Source organism: Homo sapiens, chromosome 21 (genome assembly GCF_000001405.40).
Source record: "Homo sapiens chromosome 21, GRCh38.p14 Primary Assembly".
NCBI lineage: Eukaryota > Metazoa > Chordata > Mammalia > Primates > Hominidae > Homo > Homo sapiens.
The window spans coordinates 33521064-33544915 of NC_000021.9; the positions used below are offsets into that span (position 1 = coordinate 33521064).

A 23852-nucleotide genomic window follows, 5' to 3' on the forward strand; every position below is an offset into this window, starting at 1 on the left:
TGTAATTATTTAAATGTCTACTAGTTTAAAAAAACCAGTATATTTAGCGGCCTGTGAGATGTACTTCTGGAAGAAATAGATGATTGGAACAGCTGTTCTCAGAGATGACATAATCAAATCAACTGGGAGAATGTAATCATTTAATAGATTAACATGTAACATGTTAATAGGTTAAACATGTATATACATACCACTTGTTCATAAGAATGGCTGAAACAAGAGATGCCCTTCCTGAGTATGAGAGATTGCACCATGTGCTCAAAGAATTGATTAAGAAAGTAATTAAGGCTGGGCGTGGTGGCTCACCCCTGTAATCCCAGCACTTTGGGAGGCCGAGGCGGGTGGATCACAAGGTCAGGAGATCGAGACCATCCTGGTTAACACAGTGAAACCCCGTCTCTACTAAAAATACAAAAAAATTAGCTGGGCGTGGTGGCGGGCACCTGTAGTCCCAGCTACTCGGGAGGCTGAGGCAGGAGAATGGCGTGAATGCAGGAGGCAGAGCTTGCAGCTAGCCGAAATGGCACCACTGCACTCCAGCCTGGGCGACAGAGCCAGACTTTGTCTCAAAAAAAAAAAAAAAAAAAAAGGAAGTAATTAAATACTAAAGGACCAGCCAGACATGGTGGCTCATGCCTATAATCCCAGCACTTTGGGAGGCTGAGGTGGGCAGATTGCCTGAGGTCAGGAGTTCAAGACCAGCTTGGCCAACATGGTGAAATCATGTCTCTACAAAAATACAAAAATTAGCCAGGCATGATGGTGGGTGCCTATAATCCCAATTACTTGGGAGACTGAGGCAGGAGAATCGCTTGAAATCAGGATGCAGAGGTTGCAGTGAGCCGAGATGGTGCCATTGCACTCCAGCCTGGGCAAGACTCTTGTCTCAAAAAAAAAAAAAAAAAAAGTAAAGGAGCATACATATCCTTTTGAGTTTAACATGACAGATGAGAAATACTTTAATATTAAAGAAAAGAAAGCAGAAGACTGGGTTTGGCTTAAGCAGGGCAAAACTTACAGTAACCAAGCATTGCTTTGGAAAATATTCCTGTTAAATATAAAACCCAAATCCATTCACAATGTATATCAAAGTTAATGAATTAGCAAAGTATAGGATCACTGACCTGATCTGGAAGTGGCTTTTGCTAAAGGCTGAATTTTCTTGACCAGCATATTTCCAGCTGCGATATCTACTCCAGATTCCTTGTAAGTCAAACTCCTAAAGAATTAAAAACAAGTCATCACCTAAACGTCAGGGAAAATTATTTTAATCTTAAAATATTATTTAAAGCAGAAGATATCCCAAGTGATTTTCACATACCCTAAAGTGCTTAAATTTTTTTAAAGTCAGTGCCTGGGCCACATCTATACAGATTCTGATTTAACTGGTCTAGGGCAGGCTCTGGGAATTGAAATGAGTTTGAACCATCTCCCCAGTTGACTTGATTACATCATCCCTGAGAACCGCTATTCTAACTCAATCACCTATTTCTTCTACAAGTACTTCTCACAGGCTGCTAAATATACTGATTCTTTTAAATGATTTTTTATTAAGGTAGAATATACACAACATAAAATTCAGCATCTTAACCATTTTTAAGTGAACAGTTCAATAGTATTGAATACAATTATAATGCTGTGCACCCGGCACCATCATCCATCTCCATAATCCTTTATCTTGTAAAACTGAACGTCTGTCCCAGTTAAATAACTCCCCATTCCCCACTACCCCAGACCCTGGCAACCATCTGTTTAAAAGTAGATATACTGACATTTTGCTGCAACTTTTCTCAGTTCAATTTTGGTATGAACAAGAGAGGAATGCCTAATCAAGTCAAAAAAGTGAAAATTAGATTTGTAAAAACCGTACACAAGTATCCCTAAATAATTAAACTGAGTTCTTAATTTCAGTAATATATAACTGTATCTGTTTCCTAATAGCTGAGGACAGTAAACACTATGACAAAAGCAAAACCAGGTAAAGATACTCAGTGCATCATTTCCTTCTGTATAGGACCCACAAGTCGGAGCAGTACATTTAGAGATCAAATTTTTGAATGACACTGCAGATTTTGTAGTCTTGACTTGCAAAAATGAGAACTCTGGCCTGCTGGGATGCAGTGATACATGAAGAAATATGTGTTTTTATAGAAGTGTCTTTAAAAAAAGCATACAAAAACAAAAAACAAAAAAGCTGCCAGAATACAGTTGAGTGCATTGGCAGTTAACTCAAATAAAGCCAGCAGCTCTGGGTCACTCTCAGATAGAAAACAAAGACTGATGTTAAAAAACCTTTTCTCCAGTAGCAACTAACACTGTGGCATTTCCATTTTTTCATCTTTATAACTTAAATAATTCAGACTAGAATTGAGATTGCAGTCCCTTGAAATAGGTCATTTCAATGGAATCTAGTCATTTTTAAATGAAAAATAAATTTTTAGCCTGGTATTTTGATGTTCTTGATTCTTGGAAAATCTGTGTTTAAACTTTAAAAAAACCTGCCTCTTGGTAACAGTATAGCTTGAATTACGTTGGTAAAAAAATTTTGTCTTAAAATTTATTCATTATCCGTAAATGAACTTCACGAACAATAGCAAATGTGATATATTTTTAAGAAATCAGGCCGGGCACGGTGGCTCACGCCTGTAATCCCAGTACTTGGTGAGGCTGAGGCAGGCAGATCACCTGAGGTCAGGAGTTCGAGACCAGCCCGGCCAACATGGTGAAACCCCATGTCTACCAAAAACACAAAAATTAGCTGGGCACGGTGGCAGGCACCTGTAATCCCAGCTACTCAGGAGGCTGAGGAAGGGGAATCACTTGAACCCGGGAGGTGGAGGTTGCAGTGAGGCGAGATCATGCCACTGCACTCCAGCCTGGGCGACAAGAGCAAAATTCTGTCTCAAAAAAAAAAAAAAAAAAAAAAAGAAATCAAAACACCCACATTTCCAACTAAGACTTTATTGATTTTACAAGTCAACAGTTTGTACATACCAACAATGAATCAGTAAGAGGTCAAAAAATACATTTTAGTAATAGATACAAACGCAGTGATAAAATGAGACTGTCAAACTTTACAGTATAATCAAATCAAATTACAAAGTTAGATGACCAGTATTCTCATCTTCAGTTCTTTGATAAAACCATGAACTATGTTTCAAATACAACACTATGTGATAACGCAAGGAATAAAAATCAGTATCAGGCCAAGTGCAGCGGCTCATGCCTATAATCCCAGCATTTTGGGAGGCCAAAGCAGGAGGATCACTTGAGCCCAGGATTTCAGACTGGCCTTGGCAACATGGTGAAACCCCATCTCCACAAAAAATACAAAAAAATTAGCCAGGTGTGGTGGCCTGTGCCTGTAGTCCCAGCTATTTGGGAGGCTGAGGCATGAGAACTTGGGCGAGAGAGGAAGACCCTGTTAAAAAAATTAAAAATATAAAATAAAAAAAATAGAAAACAAATAAAAATCAGTACCACTGTGATTTTGCTAAACTTTCCAAACTTACGCTATCATGAAGTTTTTTCCATTTGAGTATTGCTATAACCAGTTTTGATTCAAACAAAATACAAACCAAGACTGTATCACTCCCACAGAGAGAAAAGAATACTGAATGACTTATAGGGTTAATGAAATGTTCTACATAGCCATTTAGGCCAGTTTCTGAAATGGCACTACAGCTAACTTGCTTAGAGTTTTACCTGGGCTGCTGGAGGAAAGCTATGGCACGAAAGCCGACGTCTTTCCTATAAATTGCTCCCTCAAACTTTATAGCAGCTAGTCCTTTCTTGGCTTCCTCAAGGGCTGATATGAGATTTTCCCGGATGGCTGTGACTGCAAGAACTCTACCCCCATGAGTTACTACTTTGCCATTTTTGAGGGCAGTGCCTGCATGGAACACCTCCAGTCCTAGAGCTTGAGCCTCAGGAAACCCTAGAAGAGAGCATATTTGACATATGATTTCAAATAGCAACAGTATTTCACACCGTGAAGTGATTTACGATTTCCACAAGTTTCTTTTTTTTTTTTTTTAACTTGGCTAGGTGCGGTGGCTCATGCTTATAATTCCAGCACTTTGGGAGGCTGAGGCAAGGACTGCTTGAGTCCATGAGTTCGAGACCAGCCTGGGCAACAGAGCAAGACCTCGCCTCTACATAAATAAATAAATAAATAAATAATAATAGCCAAGTGTGGCGGCACACACCAGCTGAGGTGGGAGGATCACTTGAATTTGGGAGTTTGAGGCTGCAGTGAGGTGTGATCGCACCACTGCTCCAAACCCAGCAACAGAGACCCTGTCTCCAAATAAATAAATACATAAAAATTAAAGATCTTTCTCTCACTTAAAAGAACCTTCCCTATCAGACAGGTCTTCTTTTATTTTTTGAGACGGAGTCTCACTCTGTTGCCAAGCTAGTAGTGGTGTGATCTCCGCTCACTGCAACCTCTGCCTCCTGGGTTCAAGCAATTCTCTTGCCTCAACCTCAGGAGTAGCTGGGACTACAGGAATGTGCCACCACACCCAGCTAATTTTTGTATTTTTAGTAGAGACGGGGTTTGAAAATGTTGGCCAGGATGGTCTTGACCTCCTGATCTGCCCGCCTTGGCCTCCCAGATAGGTTTTAATGCAATGTAATAGTAATTAGACCTTTCTCCTAAGAACTGTCTGCTATTTTAGGATGACAACCTAAATTCTTGTGTTATCGTAAATCTCATTATAAAAGCAATTGTTTAATGAGGAAAGAAACAAAAATCCTGCATCTGATCACATTAATCTTTTCCTTAAGAGTAAGGGAACTTCCTTTTTTTTTTTTTTTTTTGAGACAGAGTCTCGCTCTGTCGCCCAGGCTGGTGTGCAGTGGTGCAATCTTGGCTCACTGCAAGCTCCTCCTCCCAGGTTCACGCCATTCTCCTGCCTCAGCCTCCTGAGTAGCTGGGACTACAGGTGCCCACCACCATGCCCGGCTAATTTTTTGTATTTTTAGTAGAGACAGGGTTTCACCGTGTTAGCCAGGATGGTCTCGATCTCCTGACCTTGCGATCTGCCTGCCTGGGCCTCCCAAAGTGCTGGGATTAGTCATGAGCCACTGCGCCCAGCCGGGAACTTCCTTTTCTTTTTGGGACAGAGTCTTGCTCTGTCACCTAGGCTGGAGTGTGCAGTTGTGCGACCTCGGCTCACTGCAACCTCTACCTCCTGGGTTCAAGCCATCCTGCCACCTCAGCCTCCTGAGTAGCTAGGATTATAGGCATGCACCACCACATTTGGCTAATTGTTTTTGTATTTTTAGTGGAGACGGGGTTTCACCATGTTGGCCAGGCTGGTCTCGAACTCCTGACCTCAAGTGATCTGCCCGCTTCGGCCTCCCCAAGTGTTAGGATTACAGGTGTGAGCCACCGTGCCTGGCCTGTAAAGGAACTTCTTTTCATCACAGTTATTCAATTAAAGCTGCTTCTTTTTTTCTTTTTCGATTTTTTTTTTTTAACCAGATCATGAGACTTAAGTTTCTTTCTTTTCAGTATAACCAATATGATCAGTACAATGCAAAACATAAGTAATCTTTTCACTATTATAACACTTGTATGATTTTAAGACAAACTTGGCTTAAATTAAGTTTTGGGGTCAGCCCCAAATTCCTGCCCCTTCACTGTATTTTGAATTATTTTTAAACTCTCAGATACAGCTTTATAGTTAAAACATTATTAGACTATATATTCTAAATTCTAAAGTGACCAAAGGGGACAGTTTATGTAAAGATAACACTTTTTCTTAATTTTTAGAAAACCATTCTTTCATCTCCTGGTGGTCTTCTTTTTCCGTCTCTATTTCTTTTGTTAGCATCCTATTTGGTAGTTTGTTAATATACATCTTCCCTGAGTGTTTTTACAACACAAAGCCATTTAGTGATTCTGAATGGCTACTCTGCCTGCCAGTACTGGTAAAACTCAATATTGCTCTGGCAGAACTATTATACACTTGTTACTTCAATCTTAGGGAAATTTTACCAATGCAAGGGATCTTGGTTCTGGCCCATTTCTTTCTTTGTCCATATTCAAAAGGAATCAATTCTTAACTGCCTGCCTAGCTGCCATGCGTGGGATTCATAAGGCAATGGACTTGGTGTCTGGGCAAGACAGTTTATGGGGTTGTTGAATTAAATACACTACTGGAGGCTGGGCATGGTGGCTCAGACCTGTAATCCCAATACTTGAGGAGGATGAGGTAGGCGGATCACTTGAGGTCAGGAGTTCGAGACCAGCCGGGCCAACATGGTGAAACCCCATCTCTACTAAAAATACAGAAATTAGCTGGGCCTGGTAGCATACACCTGTAATCCAGTTACTTGGGAGGCTGAGTCAGAAGAATCGCTTGAACCCAGGAGGAGGTTACAGTGAGCCGAGATCGTGCCACTGCAATCCAGCCTGGGTGACAGAGCTAGAGTCTATCTCGAAAAAAAAAGGAAACCCCCCAAATACACTACTGGAGCACGGAGAGTGGCCAAACTATAGGCTGCTAGGGGTCACAGAGGTCTGCCTTTGGACTTACGGCACTGGAACTTAGATTTAACATCATTTAACGAGATGTTTCACCTACTTTATATAAAGAGAGAGAGAAAAAAAAGAGAAGGATAAACTTTGAAACTGTTTGAATTTTGCCATCCAAGTGACTATGGGGTGCACTGTAAACTGGGGGTCAAACCACACAAAACTGTATGCATTTGTGATAATTCAGAGTCCTCACCTCTAAAATATATCTTATTGATATACTTTGTACTAATGTTCCTCTGACTCTCAGAGAATCTCATTATTACCCTGGCTCTAGGCAGGTGGAAGTGGAAGGCTGCACTGGGTGACACTCGGGAGATGTGGTTCTGCCACTTATGTCTTCCTTGCACAGGAAGGGAAATCAACGGTTCTCTGAATACAGTAATTGCGGATATTTGAACACACATATCCAATAAGCAACATGGTTAAGACCCTCTGAAAGGTTTCTGATGGCTTCACACTCTTATCGAGAGCAAGCCTTAGTGTGAGAGGGGGGTCTGCTGTGGTGCTGGCACTTGTCACGTTGTACTCCAACCTCTTGCTCCCTGACACTCACCTGTTATCTCTACACCCTTGGTGTAGTCTCCAGGATAACCTTTACTTGCCATGACAACAGTTAGGGCGGTGTGGTTTTCTAGCCAAACAGGCAGAGATGTGCAGAGCAGTCCATCTAAGGTGGACTGAATCACTTCATAAAGATCACTTTTAAGAAGTGGGAGGATTACCTGGAAAAACATAATCCACATGGCAGGTGGGATAAATTTTAGTTTTCCTTAAACATTTTATTCACTGGTGTACTAGCAGAACTTGCATGAATTTCCCAAAGGTAATTACTTCCAGGCTGATAAATTCCAAGATTAAAATACCACATATCTTCTACCAAGTAATACTTTGATATTTTTACCCACTTGGCACTCTGGATCACCAAAACGGCAATTAAACTCTAGAACTTTTGGGCCATTCTTGGTCAGCATTATTCCAGCATAGAGAATACCTTCATTAAAAAAGAAAAAAAAAAAAAAGAGAGAAAGAAAATCTATGATGAAGACACTGTATTACAAATATAAAATCTACTACATAAACTTCTAATAATCAAAGTTTTGGAAAAATCATAAACATTTAAAAAATGGTCCATTAAAAAGTGGTAAAAAAAAAAAAAAAAGGGAATGGAAAATAAGTTTTATCAAAAGTAGAAAGTTACTCTATAGGTGGCTTCCATAGTAATGTGGGTGGGCCTACCTGTATATGGAGTACCCTCTTGCTGCATGCCATCCACTGTCCTCTGAAGAACAGTATCTTTAATTTTTAGTAATAGATCATTAGAAACCTGGAGAACGTGCAGAAACAGTTAAATGTAACAGGTAACTTAAAAAGTCTAAGTAGTATTACATGGGACAACAGAAGGGGATGATGAGGATAACTCATTTTTTTACTACCTGAAACATGCTGAACACTTTGAACTTGAAAGATTTAAACTTTCTCAATCCTCACAATGACTCTGTCAAGTAGGTATTTTAGCTTTATGATTTTCAAAAAATACACTCTTAAAAGAACTAGCCAAAAATAACTTCCCGAAACGTAATAGAAATGAAACAAGTTCTCTCCTACCCTAAGGCTTCTTTGTACTCTTCCCAGTATACGCTGCATATTTCATAAGTCTATATATGTAAGATTCTGGGTTTATGAATTTAATTGTAAAAATTAGACCCAGATATAGTTCTTAGAATACACTATTACCAAATGGTAGTTTTAATACAAGTGTTTGGATTACAGGTGTGAACCACTGTGCCTGGCCTACACTTATGAAGTCTTTTAAAAAAAATGAAGTTTATGTTTAATCTTTTTTTTTTTTTTTTTTTGAGGTGAAGTTTCACTTTTGTTGTCCAGGCTGGAGTGCAATGGCGCAATCTTGGCTCACCACAACCTCCGCCTCCCGGGTTCAAGTGATTCTCTTACCTTAGCTTCCCAAGTAGCTGGGACTGGGACTACAGGCATGTGCCATCGCGCCCAGCTAATTTTTGTATTTTCAGTAGAGACGGGGTTTCTCCATGTTGGCCAGGCTGGTCTCAAACTCCCGACCTCAGGTTATCCACCTGCCTCGGCCTCCCAAAGTGCTGGGATTACAGGCATGAGCCACTGCGCCTGGCCTATTTTTAATCTTTTAAGCAAGAAAAATATGTAAAGGGGCACTACATTAGCACAAACATTATGACTATCTTCAATGAAAAGAATAGGTGAGTTTTCGGATTGTTAACCTACTTATATGCCAACAGCACAAATTCCTAAAAAAAACTGTGCAGAAGGCCAGGCATGGTAGCTCACGCCTGTAATCCCAGCACTTTGGGAGGCCGAGGTGGGCAGATCACGGGTCAAGAGATCCAGACCATACTGGCCAACATGGTGAAACCCCATCTCTACTAAAAATACAAAAATTAGCCTGGCGTGGTGGCCTGTGCCTGTAGTCCCAGCTACTTGTGAGGCTGAGGCAGGAGAATCACTTGAACCCAGGAGGTGGAGGATGTAGTGAGCCAAGATCGTGCCACTGCACCCCAGCCTGGTAACAGAGCGAGACTCCGTCTCAAAAAACAACAACAAAAACAAAAACTGTGCCGAAATTGTTTGGAAACGTGTTGTCTGTTATGAAGTAGAAAGATCAGAACAAATTCTGATCTGACTTGGTTCTCAATTCATATCACACACACACAAGAAATTCTGATCTGACTTGGTTCTCAATTCATATCACACGCACACTAGAAATTCTGATGTGACTTGGTTCTCAATTCATATCACACACACACACAGATACACACAGACAACACTTTTGTGCTGAACCACGGATATCCAAAGATGAATCCAAGACCACGACAGGCTCCCATGTGTTAAAAATTGGCTGCAGAGAGGAGGGAATAGGAGGATCTATTCAACCCATACTATACTTTAGATTGGCTTATTTTAGTTCTTCAAAAAAGGCTTTTAGGAAAAGTTAGTTTTAGAGACCAGAAAAGATACTCCTCATTTAATTGCTGATTAGTAACATAATTCATAGCAACAAACAAACAGAAAACAAAACAAAATAGAAAGTATCATCTAAGAGTTCTCTGAGAAAACCAAACTACTACAAGACTTCAGCAGAGTCTTCGGGAAGTACCTGAGGGGCTGGACAATAGGCTCCCATTCCCCCTGTGTTAGGGCCACCATCTCCCTCCAGTAATCGCTTATGGTCCTGTGCTGGGGGCATGGGGGCCACAGTCTTGCCATCAGTGAAACACAGACACTATAAAGAAAACAAAATAGTCCATTTATGTTAACTGTCAAAAACTAAAAAAAAAAATTTAGTGAGGCAAACTATATGTCCCTTAATTCTTCTTTGAGGAAAAGTTTGTTTTTTTTTTTGCAGAGAAATGAACCGAAACGTCAATAACATTAAGCTACATACATCAAGAATCATAATGTACTCAACTTCTGAAGGATTTGTAATTTTTGAGGGAAGTCAGAAAAAATCAAGCTACTCTCAAAGTAAAAGATTTCAACCTTTCCCCCACTTTAAGCTTCCAGGCATTAAAACTTGGTTTAAGGTGACTTTATTTATTGTGCAATAAACTGTATATGAAAGAAAAAGCATGAATGCTTGAATTAATCCAGAACCTCAATAGTGTGTAAGTCCAAGTGCCCCCACTAACACACTAGGGATGACTAACAGAGGATCGATTATTTTTTCATTTGCACCCCCAACAATAAAAGTATACAAATTCCTTTGTAACTGCTGGGTTTATGTTTTTAGATGAAGCAACCAGAGTATATCAAGTCTTTTCTGGGGTACACAGGTCAGATGACAGCTTCTTATACACTACAAAAGCCAAAAAGATGAATATACATACCGACACCTCTTCTCCGTCAAGAAGTTCTTCAATGACAATTGTTTCTCCAGCTGCCCCAAAGGCTTTCTCCTGATTGTAAGATTTTTTTTTTTTTTTTTTTTAAAAAAAGAGGCTTGGTAAGTTTTTGATACTTAGTTGACTTTTAGCATTATCCAGCATTTGTATTATGAACCAGTGAGTACTGTAATTTTTCTTTCCCTTTCAGAAAGACTCAAAGGGAACATATAAATGTTTCCTATTTTTAATGTGGCAATAGTGTAGCTAACACTGGTACAGACGGAATAAACACACCTCTAATATTCTCCTGAAGATTTGGTGATCCAGTTTCAAATAAGGTATGGGAAAAACAGATGTTTTCATTATCGCCACTTAATCCTTACTTCCGATTATAATTATACATGTTTGGCTGTAATAACTATACTAAAGCATGCTTGTGAAAGTAGACTTCTACAAGGACAGAAAACCCACAACAACAAAGATCGATCACGAAAGACAAGGCATATTCATTCATTAATTTACTTCTCTTAGACCCGGGACATGTGGGACAAATACTTTTGTCCTCATGGATGGCTTGATAATTTATTTATATGTTCTAGAGTCTGAGGATTTTCTTTCAGTGGCAGACAACAAAGGATGTTACAATTTACTTCAAAATAATACAATCATGGTTTAATTTACAGTGTAAATCCATAACTATTTTATAGAGATGGATTATAATACATGGGATTATAAAAAATAACTTACCCATATGTTTGCAAAATAGATTTTCCTTATTGTGAGGAACATTTTTTAAACTTAAAACGGTATTTATTCAGTATGAATAGAAAAGTAAATTTTTTCAGAAGACCCAGCCTACCTGCATGATCTCTTGTACAGCTTTGCAGGCCTCTTCTTTGCTCTTTGCAACAATCACCCCTTTTCCAGCTGCAAGACCACTGGCCTTCACAACCAAAGCAGGGAAGTCTGCACTGTAAAGACAGAGTAATCGTCAACATCCAATAAACCATTACAACTCAAGATTTTAAAATGCTGTGGGATTTTGTAACGATATGCTATAGCAATGACTGAAAAGCAGAAAGAAAAAAATTAATTATCATTCCAACACATTTTGATGTACTTCCCACCAGGATTTTTTCCCCTACGTATTCCTTTGTAGTTCCAATCATACAGTACCTACAATTTTGCTTTTTTCATTTATCATGAGATTACATAGGCAATATCTTTGGAAGAATAAGTAGATGTATAGAGTAGATATGGCATAATCTCTAAGATACAAAGTAGCAAATAGTACTCTCATTCAGGTAGAAAATGCGGCTGTATAACAACAGTAAGCATACACAGACCATTTCTGGGAGTACACATATGAAATTATCAAGTGGGCCTGGGGGTCTGGAAGGAGACTTACCCAAAGTAAGTAACAAAACTGTTACTTGCTCAAGGCATCTGGCTGCTAGGAAATAATAATATTCAGTGTTTAAGAAACTCTTTAGGATATGAATGAAAAAAAAATGAAACTGACACAACTGAAAGGAAAACATAACCAGGAAGCAGAAGTGCCAACAAAAAAAGGGCAAATGCATGTGTCTACTAACACTCATTAATTGCTCAATGCTTTCCACATAATAGAGAACAAAGGATGTTTAATTTTGAAATTTAAAATTGCAATAGTGGCCAGGCGCGGTGGCTCACGCCTGTAATCCCAGCACTTTGGGAGGCCGAGGCGGGCGGATCACGAGGTCAGGAGATCGAGACCATCCTGGCTAACACAGTGAAACCCCGTCTCTTCTAAAAATACAAAAAATTAGCCTGGAGTGGTGGTGGGCGCCTGTATTCCCAGCTACTCGGGAGGCTGAAGCAGCAGAATGGCATGAACCTGGGAGGCGGAGCTTGCAGTGAGCCGAGATAGAGATAGCGCCACTGCAGTCCGGCCTGGGTGAAAGAACGAGACTCAAAAAAAAAAAAATAAATAAATAAATAAAAATAAAAATAAATAAATAAATAAATAAAATAAAATGGCAATAGTGGTGGCAGATGACCAAGTGATGATTACTCACTCTGGTTAATTATTTATGACAAAAAAAATCAATGTTCTTTATGTTGTAAGATGCCACTGCGTTTGTCAATCTGACCGTGAGGCCTAGTGTTACGGCTCATGCCTGTAATCCCAGCACTTTGGGAGGCAGAGAGAGGCGGATCTCTTGAGCTTAAGAGTTTGAGACCGGCCTGGGAAACATGGTAAAACTCCGTCTCTACAAAAAATATAAAAACTAGCTGGGAGTAGTGGTGTGTGCCTATTGTCCCAGCTACTTGGGAGGCTGAGGTGGGAGGATCACTTGAGTCCAGGAAGCAGAGGCTGCTGTGAGCCAAGATCACGCCACTGCACTCCAGCCTGGGTGACAGAGAGAGGCCCCGTCTCAGGTTGGGGGGTGGTGGTGGGGGGCGGGGAACCAAAAACCAAAAACATGGCTGTGAAGAGCGCACAACTGCAGAACCAAGTGTATTTTTCCCCTGAGGAACTACTCAGATTTTATTAAAAATGTCATCTTCCTGCAAGGCCACAAGATCATATAAACTCTGTATGCATAGGATCCCATTTTATTTTGGTTCTGGAAAACGACAACCCACATAATATTTATTGAGAAAGTTTTTTCCTTAATTATCTTACTACATCTTGAGACAGCCTAAAGACCTAGCATTACATTTTCAACACAGAAGTGACCTGTATATTTATTTAATTTTTTTGAGACAGGGTCTCACTCTGTCACCCAGGCTGCAGTGCAGTGGCACAATCTTGGCTCAGTGCAGCCTCCGCCTCCTGGGTTCAAGTGATCCTCCCACCTTGGCCTTTAGAGGAGCTGGGACTACAGGTGCACACCATCATGCCCGGCTTTTTTTTTTCTGTATTTTTTGTAGAGACAGGGTTTTACCATGGTACCCAGGCTGGTCTCTAACTCCTGAGCTCAAGTGATTCACCTGCCTTGGCCTCCCAAAGTGCTGGGATTACAGGTGAGCTACTGTGCCTGGCCACTGACCTGTGTATTTAAATATCAAAACTAAACAACTGTCCTTCACAGACAACCATTTACCTACCTCAAAATGAAGCTGCAGGCTTCTTCAGGTTTGGTGAAAGCCTTCCATTGTGCGGTTGGGATTCCATGTCTGTCCATAAACTCTTTGGCAAACCTTTTGCTGGACTCTAACTGAGCCGCTTCTGCTGTTGGGCCAAAGCATTGCACTCCTGCAGACCTCAGGTTCCCAACAATCCCTATTGATGAAAACAGTAGCCTTAGGTGAACCAAGGTCTCCCCAGGGGCTTTTCAGCCTGAAGACGAATTAGTATCAGACTATATCTACATCTAGACAAGGCAGATGACTGGTGGCAGAGGATAACTAACTTTTTCATGTTGTCTACTGGATAGAGATAAAATGCTATTAACATGTTATTCAAATCTATCAAAAGTTGTTATATTTGCATATATGGATTATTAAACACACACCAGAATACAGCAGAATAAAGACATATAAAATGTTTTCCATGGCTGCAAATTTGATCTCTAACTCATCATATAACTGATGCTTGGGAAAAAAAATCTAGACTCCATAAATTTCGAGAGTGGAAGCTCTTTTTCCAAGATAATATTACAAATTCTCATCTGTAAAATGAATTGGATTAGATGATCCCTAAGCTTCTGTTTGCACTGAATATACTGTAACAATAAACAGAAACAAACTTTACCAGCAGCCAGAGGTGCTTCTGGTCCAACAACTACAAATTCAATTTTCTTCTCTTTGCAGAATTGAGCAAGGGCAGTGTGGTCACTGATTGAGATGGCTGTAAACAGAAAAAAAAAAAAAAAAACCACTGCATTTACAAAAACATTCCACTTAAGTAAACTAAGTGTCTCACTAAAAAAACTAAGTTCTATACTTTAGTATGCTTGTTATCTGTTGGTTTTCTTATATTGGCAGAGATGACAGTTTCAACATGTGAAATTCAGAGGAGAGTGCATTAGGCTAACCAACAGAGCTCAGTTCTCCGTTATCATTGTAGACAGATGAAAACACCAATAAACTTCCCAAAGAGCCATAAAGTATCACCTCCATGATATTGTTCACGTCACTAATATTGACTGTATATTAAACAAAAAACGTAAGATATACTCAGAAATTGGTCTTTTAATGTCAATCAATCAATTGTACTGAAAATCCACTATGTGCTAAGTACTGTCCTCAGCACTGGTATTAAGATGTCAACACGGCGGGGCGCGGTGGCTCACGCCTGTAATCCCAGCACTTTGGGAGGCCGAGGTGGGTGGATCACCTAAGGTCAGGAGTTCGAGACCAGCCTGAACAATATGATGAAACCCCGTCTCTACTAAAAATACAAAAAGTAGCTGGGTGTGGGGGCATGCACCTGTAATCCCAACTACTCAGGAGGCTGAGACAGGAGAATCGCTTGAACTGGGGAGGCGGAGGTTGCAGTGAGCCAAGATCGCACCACTGCACTCCAGCCTGGGTAGATAACAAGAACGAAACTCTGTCTCAAAAAAAAAAAAATTTATCAACACAAGCAGGGTCCCTATACTTAACATGTTTACAATACGCTGTAGGAACGCTGGGTAATAAACATACAAACAAAAAAACAGCAAATATGAACAAATTAAGCAAATTTGATATGAAGTGAATTGAGAGGCTATTTTGGGTTGGGTCAGGAGGGATCTCTTTGGGGCAGAGCTGTTTAAGTTAAGAACTCAATGACGCTTTTAAGAGGAACCTGTCTTCTCCAACCTGCAAGTCAGGTAAATTTTCTTCTGTGGAGTTCTAAGTAACTAGTGGTAGGATCAACCACATACTGAACATGGTTTGGCTCCATAGGGGCTCTCCTGCTTCACTGTGCCTGGACCACCATTCGTTAAGTCAGCTGAAGTGTGCAATCACTCTGCCATTGGTACAGAGTACAAGAAGTGATATTTGTGATGTACAGTTGTCCCTCTTTATCCTTAGAGGACACATTCTAAGATCCCTAGTGGATGCCTGAAACCACAGTGCTGAACGCTATATATATAGTATGTTTTTTCCTATACATAAACACCTATGATAAAGTTTAATTTACAAATTAGGCACAGTAAGAGATTAACTATCACTAATACTAAAATAGAACAATTATAACTATATGCCAGCATCAGCTTTGGGGCCATTATTAAGTAAAACAGGGTTACCTGAACACATGCACTGAGATAATATGATAGTCAATCTGATAACCAACAGGGCTAGTAAGTAACAACATGGATATGCTGGACAAAAAGATTCACGTCTCAGGTTGGACGGCACAAAATTTCATCATGCTATGCTAGACTGGTGTGCAATGTAAAATTTATGAATTATTTCTGAAATTTTCCATTTAATATTTTGGACTACAGCTGACTGTGGGTAACTGAAACTGTGGAAAGTAAAATTGTGGATAGGCTGGTGACTACTGTATAGGGTCCAAGTCCAGAAAAGGTAGGGTCCTCAATCTGCAGCAACTGCCTGAATGTGATTAGGATGGAGTACCACGCACTGTGGGTTAGTGGTTCTGAACACAACTAGGCTGAGCAGCGTCAACTATATCAGTATAGCAGAGGGCAACAAGAGGAAGAGGTCTCTTTAGTAGTCTTACAAGACTACTTGTAGTAGTCTCATGATGATCTTAAGAGATTTTGATGGGCTTGCCTGTATGACCTCAATCGCAGATAAACTGTCCTAGTTCTCTAATAAACAAATATCTCACCCGTAGAATTAAGATCCCAGAAAAGGAGGTATTTGCTAATTTGTATTATTCCTTTTGGTCTTATATACATGCCACTATCTTCTCCCAGTTTGTGGCTTGTTGGGTCCATGCTCTTCTTTCCATAAATATTATGTGCCACATAGGGAACTAAGCACTGTGCACACCATGCAAAACAAGACAGACAAGTTCCTTGCCCTCATGGAGCTTACATTCTACTAGAGATTATATTCTAGTGGAGGAAAAGAACATAGAAGACAGACAATAGTGAAGTAAAAATAAACACAGACATTCATGATCATAAACAAATGAAATGGGGATGGACACTTGCTTTTAGTAAGAAACTGTAGGAGAGATATAATTAAGGAGGCTAACATTTAAGTGGAGCTCTGAATAATGAGGAGACAGTCATAGTAAGGGGTGGGAACAAATATAAAGTCCAAAGCAGCAAGCTTCTGCTTGGGAAATTGGTAGGACAGCATGGATAGGGTATAGTGAAAAGAGAAAAAGGGATATAAAAGATCAGGCTGGAAGAGCAGGCAGAAGACAGACTGCACAAAGGGCTTTGAAAGGCATGGTAAGGAATTTGAGTTTTATTCTGAGTATTATTAGAATACTGAGGAGTTTCTGAAGCCACTGACAAGCTTAATGTAGTATATGAACTGACCATTTTTTCATTTTTGCCAATTGAGAGATAAGGGTGGAGGCTGGGCACGGTGGCTCATGCCTGTAATCCCAGCACTTTGGGAGGCTGAGGCGGGCAGATCACCTGAGGTCAGGAGTTTGAGACCAGCCTGACCAACATAGTGAAACCCGGTCTCTACTAAAAAAACAAAAAATTAGCTGGGTGTGGCGGCATGCACCTGTAGTACCAGCTACTCGGGAGGCTGAGGCAGAAGAATCGCTTTAACTCAGGAGCCAGAGGTTGCAGTGAGCTGAGATCACGCTACTGCACTCCAGTATGGGTGAGAGTGAGACTCTGTCTCAAAAAAAAAAAAAAAAAAAAAGTCAGAGAGAGATAAGGGTTGAGATCTATTAGAGTAACAACTGTTAAAAACTTTGTTTTGTGAGACAGGTTCTCATCTTACTCTGTTGCCCAAGTAGCTGGCACTACAGATGTGCACCACCATGCCTGGCTAATTTTTGTATTTTTTTTTTGTAGAGATCGGGTCTCACTACATTGCCCTGGCTAGTCTCAAACTGCTGGGCTCAAGAGATCCTTCTGCCTTGGCTTCCCAAAGTGCTGGGATTGTAAGCGTGAGCCACTGCACGTGGCCGCAAGTTGTATTTAATAGCAATACTAAACTTTCCATTTACAAAAATACACAACAAAATGCCTTTAATCTGTATTAGGCACTTACTACTTTTCCAATGGATGTGTTTTATCAGGTTTAAAACAGTTTAAGATAAGGAAATGCCATATTCTGAACAATAGGTTACCTTAAGTTTATAACATATTGGCAAGCATTCAAATTACCAAATAAATTTTAAGGTCAAGGAAAGCACTCAACCCTGAATAGTAGTCTATATTTTATTTTATTTTGAGATGGAGTCTCATTCTGTCGCCCAGGCTGGAGTGCAGTGGCATGATGTCAGCTTACTACAAGCTCCACCCCCTGGGTTCAAGCCATTCTCCTGCCTCAGCCTCCCGAGTAGCTGGGACTACAGGCACCCGCCACCACGCCCGGCTAATTTTTTGTATTTTTAGTAAAGACGGGGTTTCACCATGTTAGCCAGGATGGTCTCCATCTCCTGACCTCATGATCCGCATATCTCGGCCTCCCAAAGTGCTGGGATTACAGGCATTAGCCACTGTGCCCAGCCTATCTTTATTAACATAAAGTACAGATATGGTTGACAGCATACCATTAATAACAAATAATAACTATTACTCCCCACTTTAAAACATGATTACCGGTATTTGAAATCTTTTCAGAGCAGGCAGTGCCTGCGTTTCCTGGGGCAACCAACACTTGTTTGACATGATGAGACTGTGCAAGTTTCCAGGCCAGCGTATGTTCCCTTCCTCCACTGCCAATTATAAGTACTCGGGCTGCCATTGTTCTGTCTGTAAAGCAGAAATTCCAAAGGAAAATGAAACCTGCAGAAAGAAAACCACAGTTTATATCTTAGGATGCACATTTTAGAAACCCAGGGACGGGCACAGTGGCTCATGCCTGTACCCCCAGCATTTTGGGAGGCCGAGGCAGGTGGATCACTTGAGGTCAGGAGTTTGAGACCAGCCTTGGCCAACATGGCAAAACCTCATCTCTACTAAAATACAAAAATTAGCCAGGCATGGTGGCGGGTGCCTGTAATCCCAGGTACTCAGGAGGCCAAGGCAGGAGAATTGCTTGAACCTGGTAGGAGGAGATCGCAGTGAGCCAGGATCACGTCACTACACTCTAGCCTGGGAAACAGAGCAAGACCATCTCAAAAAAAAAAAAGAAATCCAGATTTGTAAATATAATTTAAGTAATCATTTGTACTCATACAAATGACATTTTCATCCAATGATTCATTTTTGAAAAACTGGGATTCATAATTTGAGAAATATGACTGTCGTCATAAGCATAAGGGAGGTATTTCAAAAAGAAGGCAGGCTGGCCTAGAGAGCTAGGTTAAGGAGTCAAACGATGACTCTCAGCTCCTTATGTGATAATCTCCCTTCTCTGGGCTTCACTTCAAAAAGATTTAATAATCATCATGCCTTAGTTATGAAATGAATCTTGTTTTAGACTCAAAATGTATTATAAAATATCAATTTTTAAACCTTGAAATCTTACAGATAATTAGGTTATCATAAATTAAAGGATATACTGAAAACTGGGGTAAGCAAACTTTACACAAAAAGGGCCACATAGTTCTGTCAAAACTACTCGACTCGGCCACCTTAGCAGGAAAGCAACCAAAGATAATACGAAGATGAATCAATGTGCCAATGTCCAGAAAAATTTAATGGACCCATAAACAGGCAGTGGGTCAGAGATCACTGTTGCCTATCAGTACTTTAAGTAGCAGGAAACCATCAAAGGTTTGTAACAAATAAACGTGACTCGCTTTCAATAAAACTTTATGTACGGATACTATAATTTGAATTTCATAAAATTTTCACATGTCACAAAAACCTCATTTATTTCCTGTTCTTTTTCTCAATCATTCATATTTGGTGAGCTGTACAAAAGCAGGCAGCAGAAGGATTTGGTATGTGGGCCATAGTTTGCTGACTCCTAATTCAAATAGCGCAATATGCTAGAATATTGGTAGAGAAGGCAAAAATCAAATTCCAACTCATTTCACTTTAGTTCTGGCACCTGAGACTTAGAAGGATGGATACAACAGCAGTGTAACCTAGGAGATTAACTGAAATGACATTTATAAATAAGTACAATCTGGCACTCAGCAGTAGTAAATGTTAACTTGTTACATTTACTTACCACAAGACAAACTGGTAACAGGAAAAAGAAAATTGAAAACTTATTTTGATGATGTTGGGATTACATATTTTAAGAAAAATGTAAGCTGACAATATACAAAACTAACATTTTTTTGAGCACTTAACCTTGGGCAGGGTACTATTTAAAATGCTTGTCATGAAAGAATCCTATGAGGGAGATACTATTACTATCACCAATTTGCAGATAAGACAAGGAGGCCCAGATAGGTAAATAACTTGCTGGAGGTCACACAGGTAAGAGGGGGTGGAGCCTAACAGAAGCAATTTTGCTTCAGATTCTCTCAACAAGTGAAACGATGATCATTGAAAATTTGAGAAAGGAAAAAAAAAAACCCTGTTAAATTACAGTCTCGGAAGGAACAGCTACTTTAGTGTAACGGGAAAACACATTTTACTTGCCATGTGTATCTGAAATAAACAGATTTTTTATTTTATTTATTTATTTATTTGTTTAGACAGTCTCTCTCTGTCGCCCAGGCTGGAGGGCAGTGGTGTGATCTCAGCTCACTACAACCTCCGCCTCCCGGGTTCAAGCGATTCTCTTGCCTCACAGCCTCCCAAGTAGCTGGGATTACGGGCGTGCGCCGCCACGCCAGGCGAATTTTTGTATTTTTAGTAGCGACGGGGTTTCACTACGTTGGCCAGGCTGGTCTCGAACTCCTGACCTCCAATGGTCAACCCACCTTGGCCTCCCAAGTGCTGGGATTACATCACATCCGGCCAGAAATAAACAGATCTTTAAATCTAGAGCAAATGTTACATCTTTAGTTTGAATATAGCAGTAGTGTGGGAAAATTCTGTTTACTCTAGTGGATCACTGAAAATAGCCTTACTACCCAGTGGTGAGGACGCCTGGGCTCCTGAGTCTCACACAGCGCCTTGGCCTGGGTAGAGACGCTGCCCCATACTAGCAGGAAGACCTTGGGGGACTTCACTAACCTTGGGCCTCATTCCTCAGAATGGGTAACATAAGCAGAATAAGACAGGCAAATAAAGCCGTATCAGAGGATATGGAGAATAAAGTAGAAACCAACTACAAAATTAACCAAGTAATCTGCCAGAGACAACGGGTGCATAAAGAGAAAGTACACCAATTTAGGGTTATGTCCTAAAAATGTATAAAGACACAAAAAGGCCTTGACATCTTAGAAAACAGGAAAAGTAAAAGAGCAAATAGAAACCAGCTAACAGTAGCAAGTGAAAAGCACATGGCCAACCCCCACCCACCGCATTTACAAACAACAGGAAAATTTCTACAAATCAGTTTCTATGGTTTCACTCAGTTCGCGATCTTAAATCCCCAAACCAAAGCCTAAGCGCGCTCCGTGTAAAAGCGGAGGGGGTTTACGCACCGACACCGGGTGGCCACCTGGTTCCCGCTTGCCCGCTCGCCGGAAGTCGGCCCACCGGGACCGGCGCGGGACCAGCGCGGCACCGCCCCTCACTGCCCCGCCCTACGACGGCTTCCCTGCCCCATTGGTCCGCGCGGCCCTGGGTCTCCGCGGCGAGAATCTAGTCTGATTCCCTCCCGCCCTGGGCGCTGCCTGACTGCTCCCCAGCCGAGACACCCAAGCCTTAGCACGTTTATAATGTGACAGTGGTACGGGGTGCCACGCAGTGTTTCCAGGAGCGCCGGGGGGGAGCGCCAAAATGCTAAACCCATTCTTAGCCAATTGTGCGCCGCTCACGAGTCAGAGCTGAGCAGCTACCGCGGAAAAATCTCGTGACACGCCTGACTCCTGATGAGACTAAAATGCACCGGGCTTTGAATGCCGGTCGCTTAGGACATCCGGCCTATTGCTAAAAAAAAAAATGAGGCTGGTTATAGAACGCACTGGGGAAGACACAGGGCAACAGCGAGTTCCTCCTCTCACATGCCAGTGGGGGCGGGGGCTGAAAAATTCTCTCCCGGATGCATATCCCTGTCGAAACTGAACTTGGCGCCACCTGAGAGCGCCTGAAAGCCGTGTGTTAAACACCGGGTTGCCCTTCTTGCTCTTCTTCCTCTTCGCCTTTAATCTCAGGCACTTAGCAAGCCTGTTAAGGCTCCCAAACACTGCTGGGGACTGACAACTTATGCGGACACGGTCGCCTCAAGAGAGACGGCTCCTGTAATGGCGCCTGCGTCAGACACTAACATGGCGGACATAGTCGTGCGCGGCGCAAACGTCAGCACCTCTACCCCAGCCGCTCAGAAACAGCAGAGGAGAGCAGGGCCGTGCTCACTGATTGGTCCCTCGGTGGAGCGGGCCGGACCGGGCATTCCCTTTGGAGCCAATCAGGAAGGCGAGAGACCGAATTGGCCCGTGCGCCTCCTCCCGAGGCATGCTGGGAGCCTGGAGGACTAGCGAGGAGGAGTTGAGAGAACGGAGCGGACGCCATGGCGACCAACATCGAGCAGATTTTTAGGTCTTTCGTGGTCAGTAAATTCCGGGAAATTCAACAGGAGCTTTCCAGGTAAACGCCTCCCAGATTCTTCTGCTCCCAACGGACCGTTAGGCCCTCACCTAGCCTTCTTTGGCACCTTTCTTCGGAGACGCAGTCGTTCCCCGGCTCAGGCCCCGCTAGGGCCCCGCCTGGGCCTGGGATCCATTTTCCGGGCCCCCCCCAACCGCCCCCCCAGCCGCTCCCTTCCTTTTCCCTCGAGGAACTTCGCCTTTTCCGAGGTAACCCAAGACTCCCTGTTTCAGAACCGAGTTAAGATGTTCACCCTTCTCCCCTGTTTGGGTCCCCCCTGCCGTTTAGCTACTCGTAGGCCCGGTTGTCCGCCAGGGACGGGCCTAGTTCCTTCCTCAGCTCCTCCTCCGCCGCCGCGTATCCCCTCCCCCTCTCGCCTCCGCGGATTTTGCCGGCCGGTGCCTATGACCGGAAAGGGTCTCTAACGGCCGTTTCTTGGTTAATCTTAAATCCTCTTTATTATTGCGAGCTTCAGACCGCTTGGGGGTCTGGATCTATTAATAAGATTATTCGGGGCCTAGTGTCCTGTAGTATCTGTCAGCCGTTCTGATAGTTAAATGTTTCAATTAAAACGAACTCAAACTGATGCACTTGCTAGTTTGTTAAAATACTCGAGATAAAGATGGAAGGGGACTTTGAAATGGTTGCGATTAATTACAGCAAGTGAAAGTGGACTTTGTGTGTAGGTCTATTATTTTCTTGCTACCCCTGCCCCAGTTGACACGCTATTTTTGTCATTGCTGGTAGACTTTACATAATTTGCGCTTGGCTTCACAAAATTTGAAGGCGAAGAGATTGTTAAAGAAATGGTTGTTTACTTAGGAAAATAGTGTGTCATGTTCAGCGGTTGTCTCTCGATATTTGCTTTTGTATAAGATACTCATTTCTTTAAAGTACAGAAGTAGGAAAGAGATCTTGAAACGTAAGTGTTCCGAGTTCAAGTGTTTTTAATTGTATTTTAAAAGTTGAGAGCAAGAGCAGTACGTGAATTTGAAAATGGGCCGAAAACCAGTTGTAAGTGCCCAAAGTAATACAGGATTATTAGGGCAATGATGTATTATTGCTAGAATTATCACTTTTGCAGAATGTGTTGTTTTTTAAGTGGAAATAGATCCACTCACATTGCTTTTTAAATTTTTGTGATATTGCTAGTAGTGTTTTGGATGAGAAGAGACCCGAGCTAAGAGAATATAATTTTCCTGACAAATCTCTGGCTGCAATAAGTAGTTGTTTGCTTAGTTTAACGAGGTGTGTTTTTGTAGCTTTTAAAAGCTAGTCTTTCCTTTAGAAAATGAGCGTTTTATTATAATTTAGAAGACATGAAAAAGGAGAAAAGAAAAAACTCACGTTATTGATATTCTCATGTCATTTCATTTCCCCCCCCATGTATTGTGTGATATGTGATCATCTTGTTTTGTATTGATCATTTTTCCAGCTAATACGTTGTGAACAGGTTTATCCCTCTCAGTCTCAGTCTTTTGGACTTCTTCATGGCTGCATAGAATCCCATTGTAGGAATATACTGTTGCATATTTAGGTGGTTTGAAATTTTCATTGCTTTTCAGTAAATGCGGTTAACGATTGCTGGCTTTAAGATGAAATCATTACTTCCTTGTAGATTAACTTTTAAAACCATAATTACTTTTCTGATTTTCAAATTTGTCATAATTATGTATAAATGCTTAGGAAAATTGTAAAATAAAGTGCTACAGAAGGAATATCTAAAAATAATATTAGACGAAGCAG

At 41.3% G+C, this 23852-nt stretch overlaps 2 protein-coding genes across 14 annotated transcripts in view, besides 7 other annotated features; one reads left to right on the plus strand and one right to left on the minus strand.

The window, feature by feature from the left end:
- The window catches only part of GART (phosphoribosylglycinamide formyltransferase, phosphoribosylglycinamide synthetase, phosphoribosylaminoimidazole synthetase), a 38963-nt gene extending 17133 nt beyond the window's left edge, over positions 1 to 21830 (minus strand). Inside the window, exons 1-12 of one of the 9 annotated variants that reach the window (XM_047440743.1) lie at positions 21788 to 21830; positions 18108 to 18260; positions 14162 to 14257; positions 13516 to 13690; positions 11282 to 11393; positions 10426 to 10494; positions 9696 to 9821; positions 7787 to 7874; positions 7456 to 7541; positions 7104 to 7272; positions 3706 to 3937; positions 1125 to 1219 (exon numbers count right to left, since the gene is read on the minus strand). In XM_047440743.1, coding sequence (XP_047296699.1) covers positions 1125 to 1219; positions 3706 to 3937; positions 7104 to 7272; positions 7456 to 7541; positions 7787 to 7874; positions 9696 to 9821; positions 10426 to 10494; positions 11282 to 11393; positions 13516 to 13690; positions 14162 to 14257; positions 18108 to 18252 — 1393 coding nt within the window. In that variant the 5' untranslated portion in view covers positions 18253 to 18260; positions 21788 to 21830. Of the gene's footprint in view, positions 1 to 1124; positions 1220 to 2945; positions 3938 to 7103; positions 7273 to 7455; positions 7542 to 7786; positions 7875 to 9695; positions 9822 to 10425; positions 10495 to 11281; positions 11394 to 13515; positions 13691 to 14161; positions 14258 to 18107; positions 18294 to 21001; positions 21055 to 21484 lie in introns of those variants that run through there. The other 8 variants (XM_006723990.3, NM_001136006.1, NM_001136005.1 and 5 more) reach the window with 8 other exon arrangements.
- Positions 10033 to 11232: an enhancer, noted in NCBI's record as "BRD4-independent group 4 enhancer chr21:34903402-34904601 (GRCh37/hg19 assembly coordinates)". NCBI's record gives its function as "activates an origin of replication core promoter dependent on BRD2, P300/CBP, MED14 and CDK7 cofactors, and independent of BRD4, by STARR-seq in HCT116 cells {active_cell/tissue: HCT116}" and the evidence as "EXISTENCE:reporter gene assay evidence [ECO:0000049][PMID:35650434]".
- Positions 20930 to 21219: a silencer, noted in NCBI's record as "silent region_13260". NCBI's record gives its function as "represses an Ori minimal core promoter by ATAC-STARR-seq in GM12878 lymphoblastoid cells {active_cell/tissue: GM12878}" and the evidence as "EXISTENCE:reporter gene assay evidence [ECO:0000049][PMID:35858748]".
- Positions 21370 to 21819: an enhancer, noted in NCBI's record as "active region_18380". NCBI's record gives its function as "activates an Ori minimal core promoter by ATAC-STARR-seq in GM12878 lymphoblastoid cells {active_cell/tissue: GM12878}" and the evidence as "EXISTENCE:reporter gene assay evidence [ECO:0000049][PMID:35858748]".
- Positions 21370 to 22115: a biological region, named in NCBI's record as "NANOG-H3K27ac-H3K4me1 hESC enhancer GRCh37_chr21:34914753-34915484".
- Positions 21384 to 22115: an enhancer, noted in NCBI's record as "NANOG-H3K27ac-H3K4me1 hESC enhancer chr21:34914753-34915484 (GRCh37/hg19 assembly coordinates)". NCBI's record gives its function as "activates a minimal SCP1, AML or CMV promoter by ChIP-STARR-seq in primed H9 embryonic stem cells {active_cell/tissue: H9 hESC(primed)}" and the evidence as "EXISTENCE:reporter gene assay evidence [ECO:0000049][PMID:30033119]".
- SON (SON DNA and RNA binding protein) overlaps positions 21975 to 23852 on the plus strand; it is a 34444-nt gene continuing 32566 nt past the window's right edge. For all 5 annotated transcript variants that reach the window (NR_103797.2, NM_138927.4, NM_001291412.3 and 2 more), the window contains exon 1: positions 21975 to 22106. Coding sequence is in view for 4 of the 5 variants with exons in the window: in NM_138927.4 (NP_620305.3) it covers positions 22030 to 22106 (77 nt within the window). In the remaining variant the exon portion in view is untranslated. The remainder of the gene's footprint in view (positions 22107 to 23852) is intronic.
- Positions 22020 to 22079: an enhancer, noted in NCBI's record as "active region_18381". NCBI's record gives its function as "activates an Ori minimal core promoter by ATAC-STARR-seq in GM12878 lymphoblastoid cells {active_cell/tissue: GM12878}" and the evidence as "EXISTENCE:reporter gene assay evidence [ECO:0000049][PMID:35858748]".
- Positions 22260 to 22349: a silencer, noted in NCBI's record as "silent region_13261". NCBI's record gives its function as "represses an Ori minimal core promoter by ATAC-STARR-seq in GM12878 lymphoblastoid cells {active_cell/tissue: GM12878}" and the evidence as "EXISTENCE:reporter gene assay evidence [ECO:0000049][PMID:35858748]".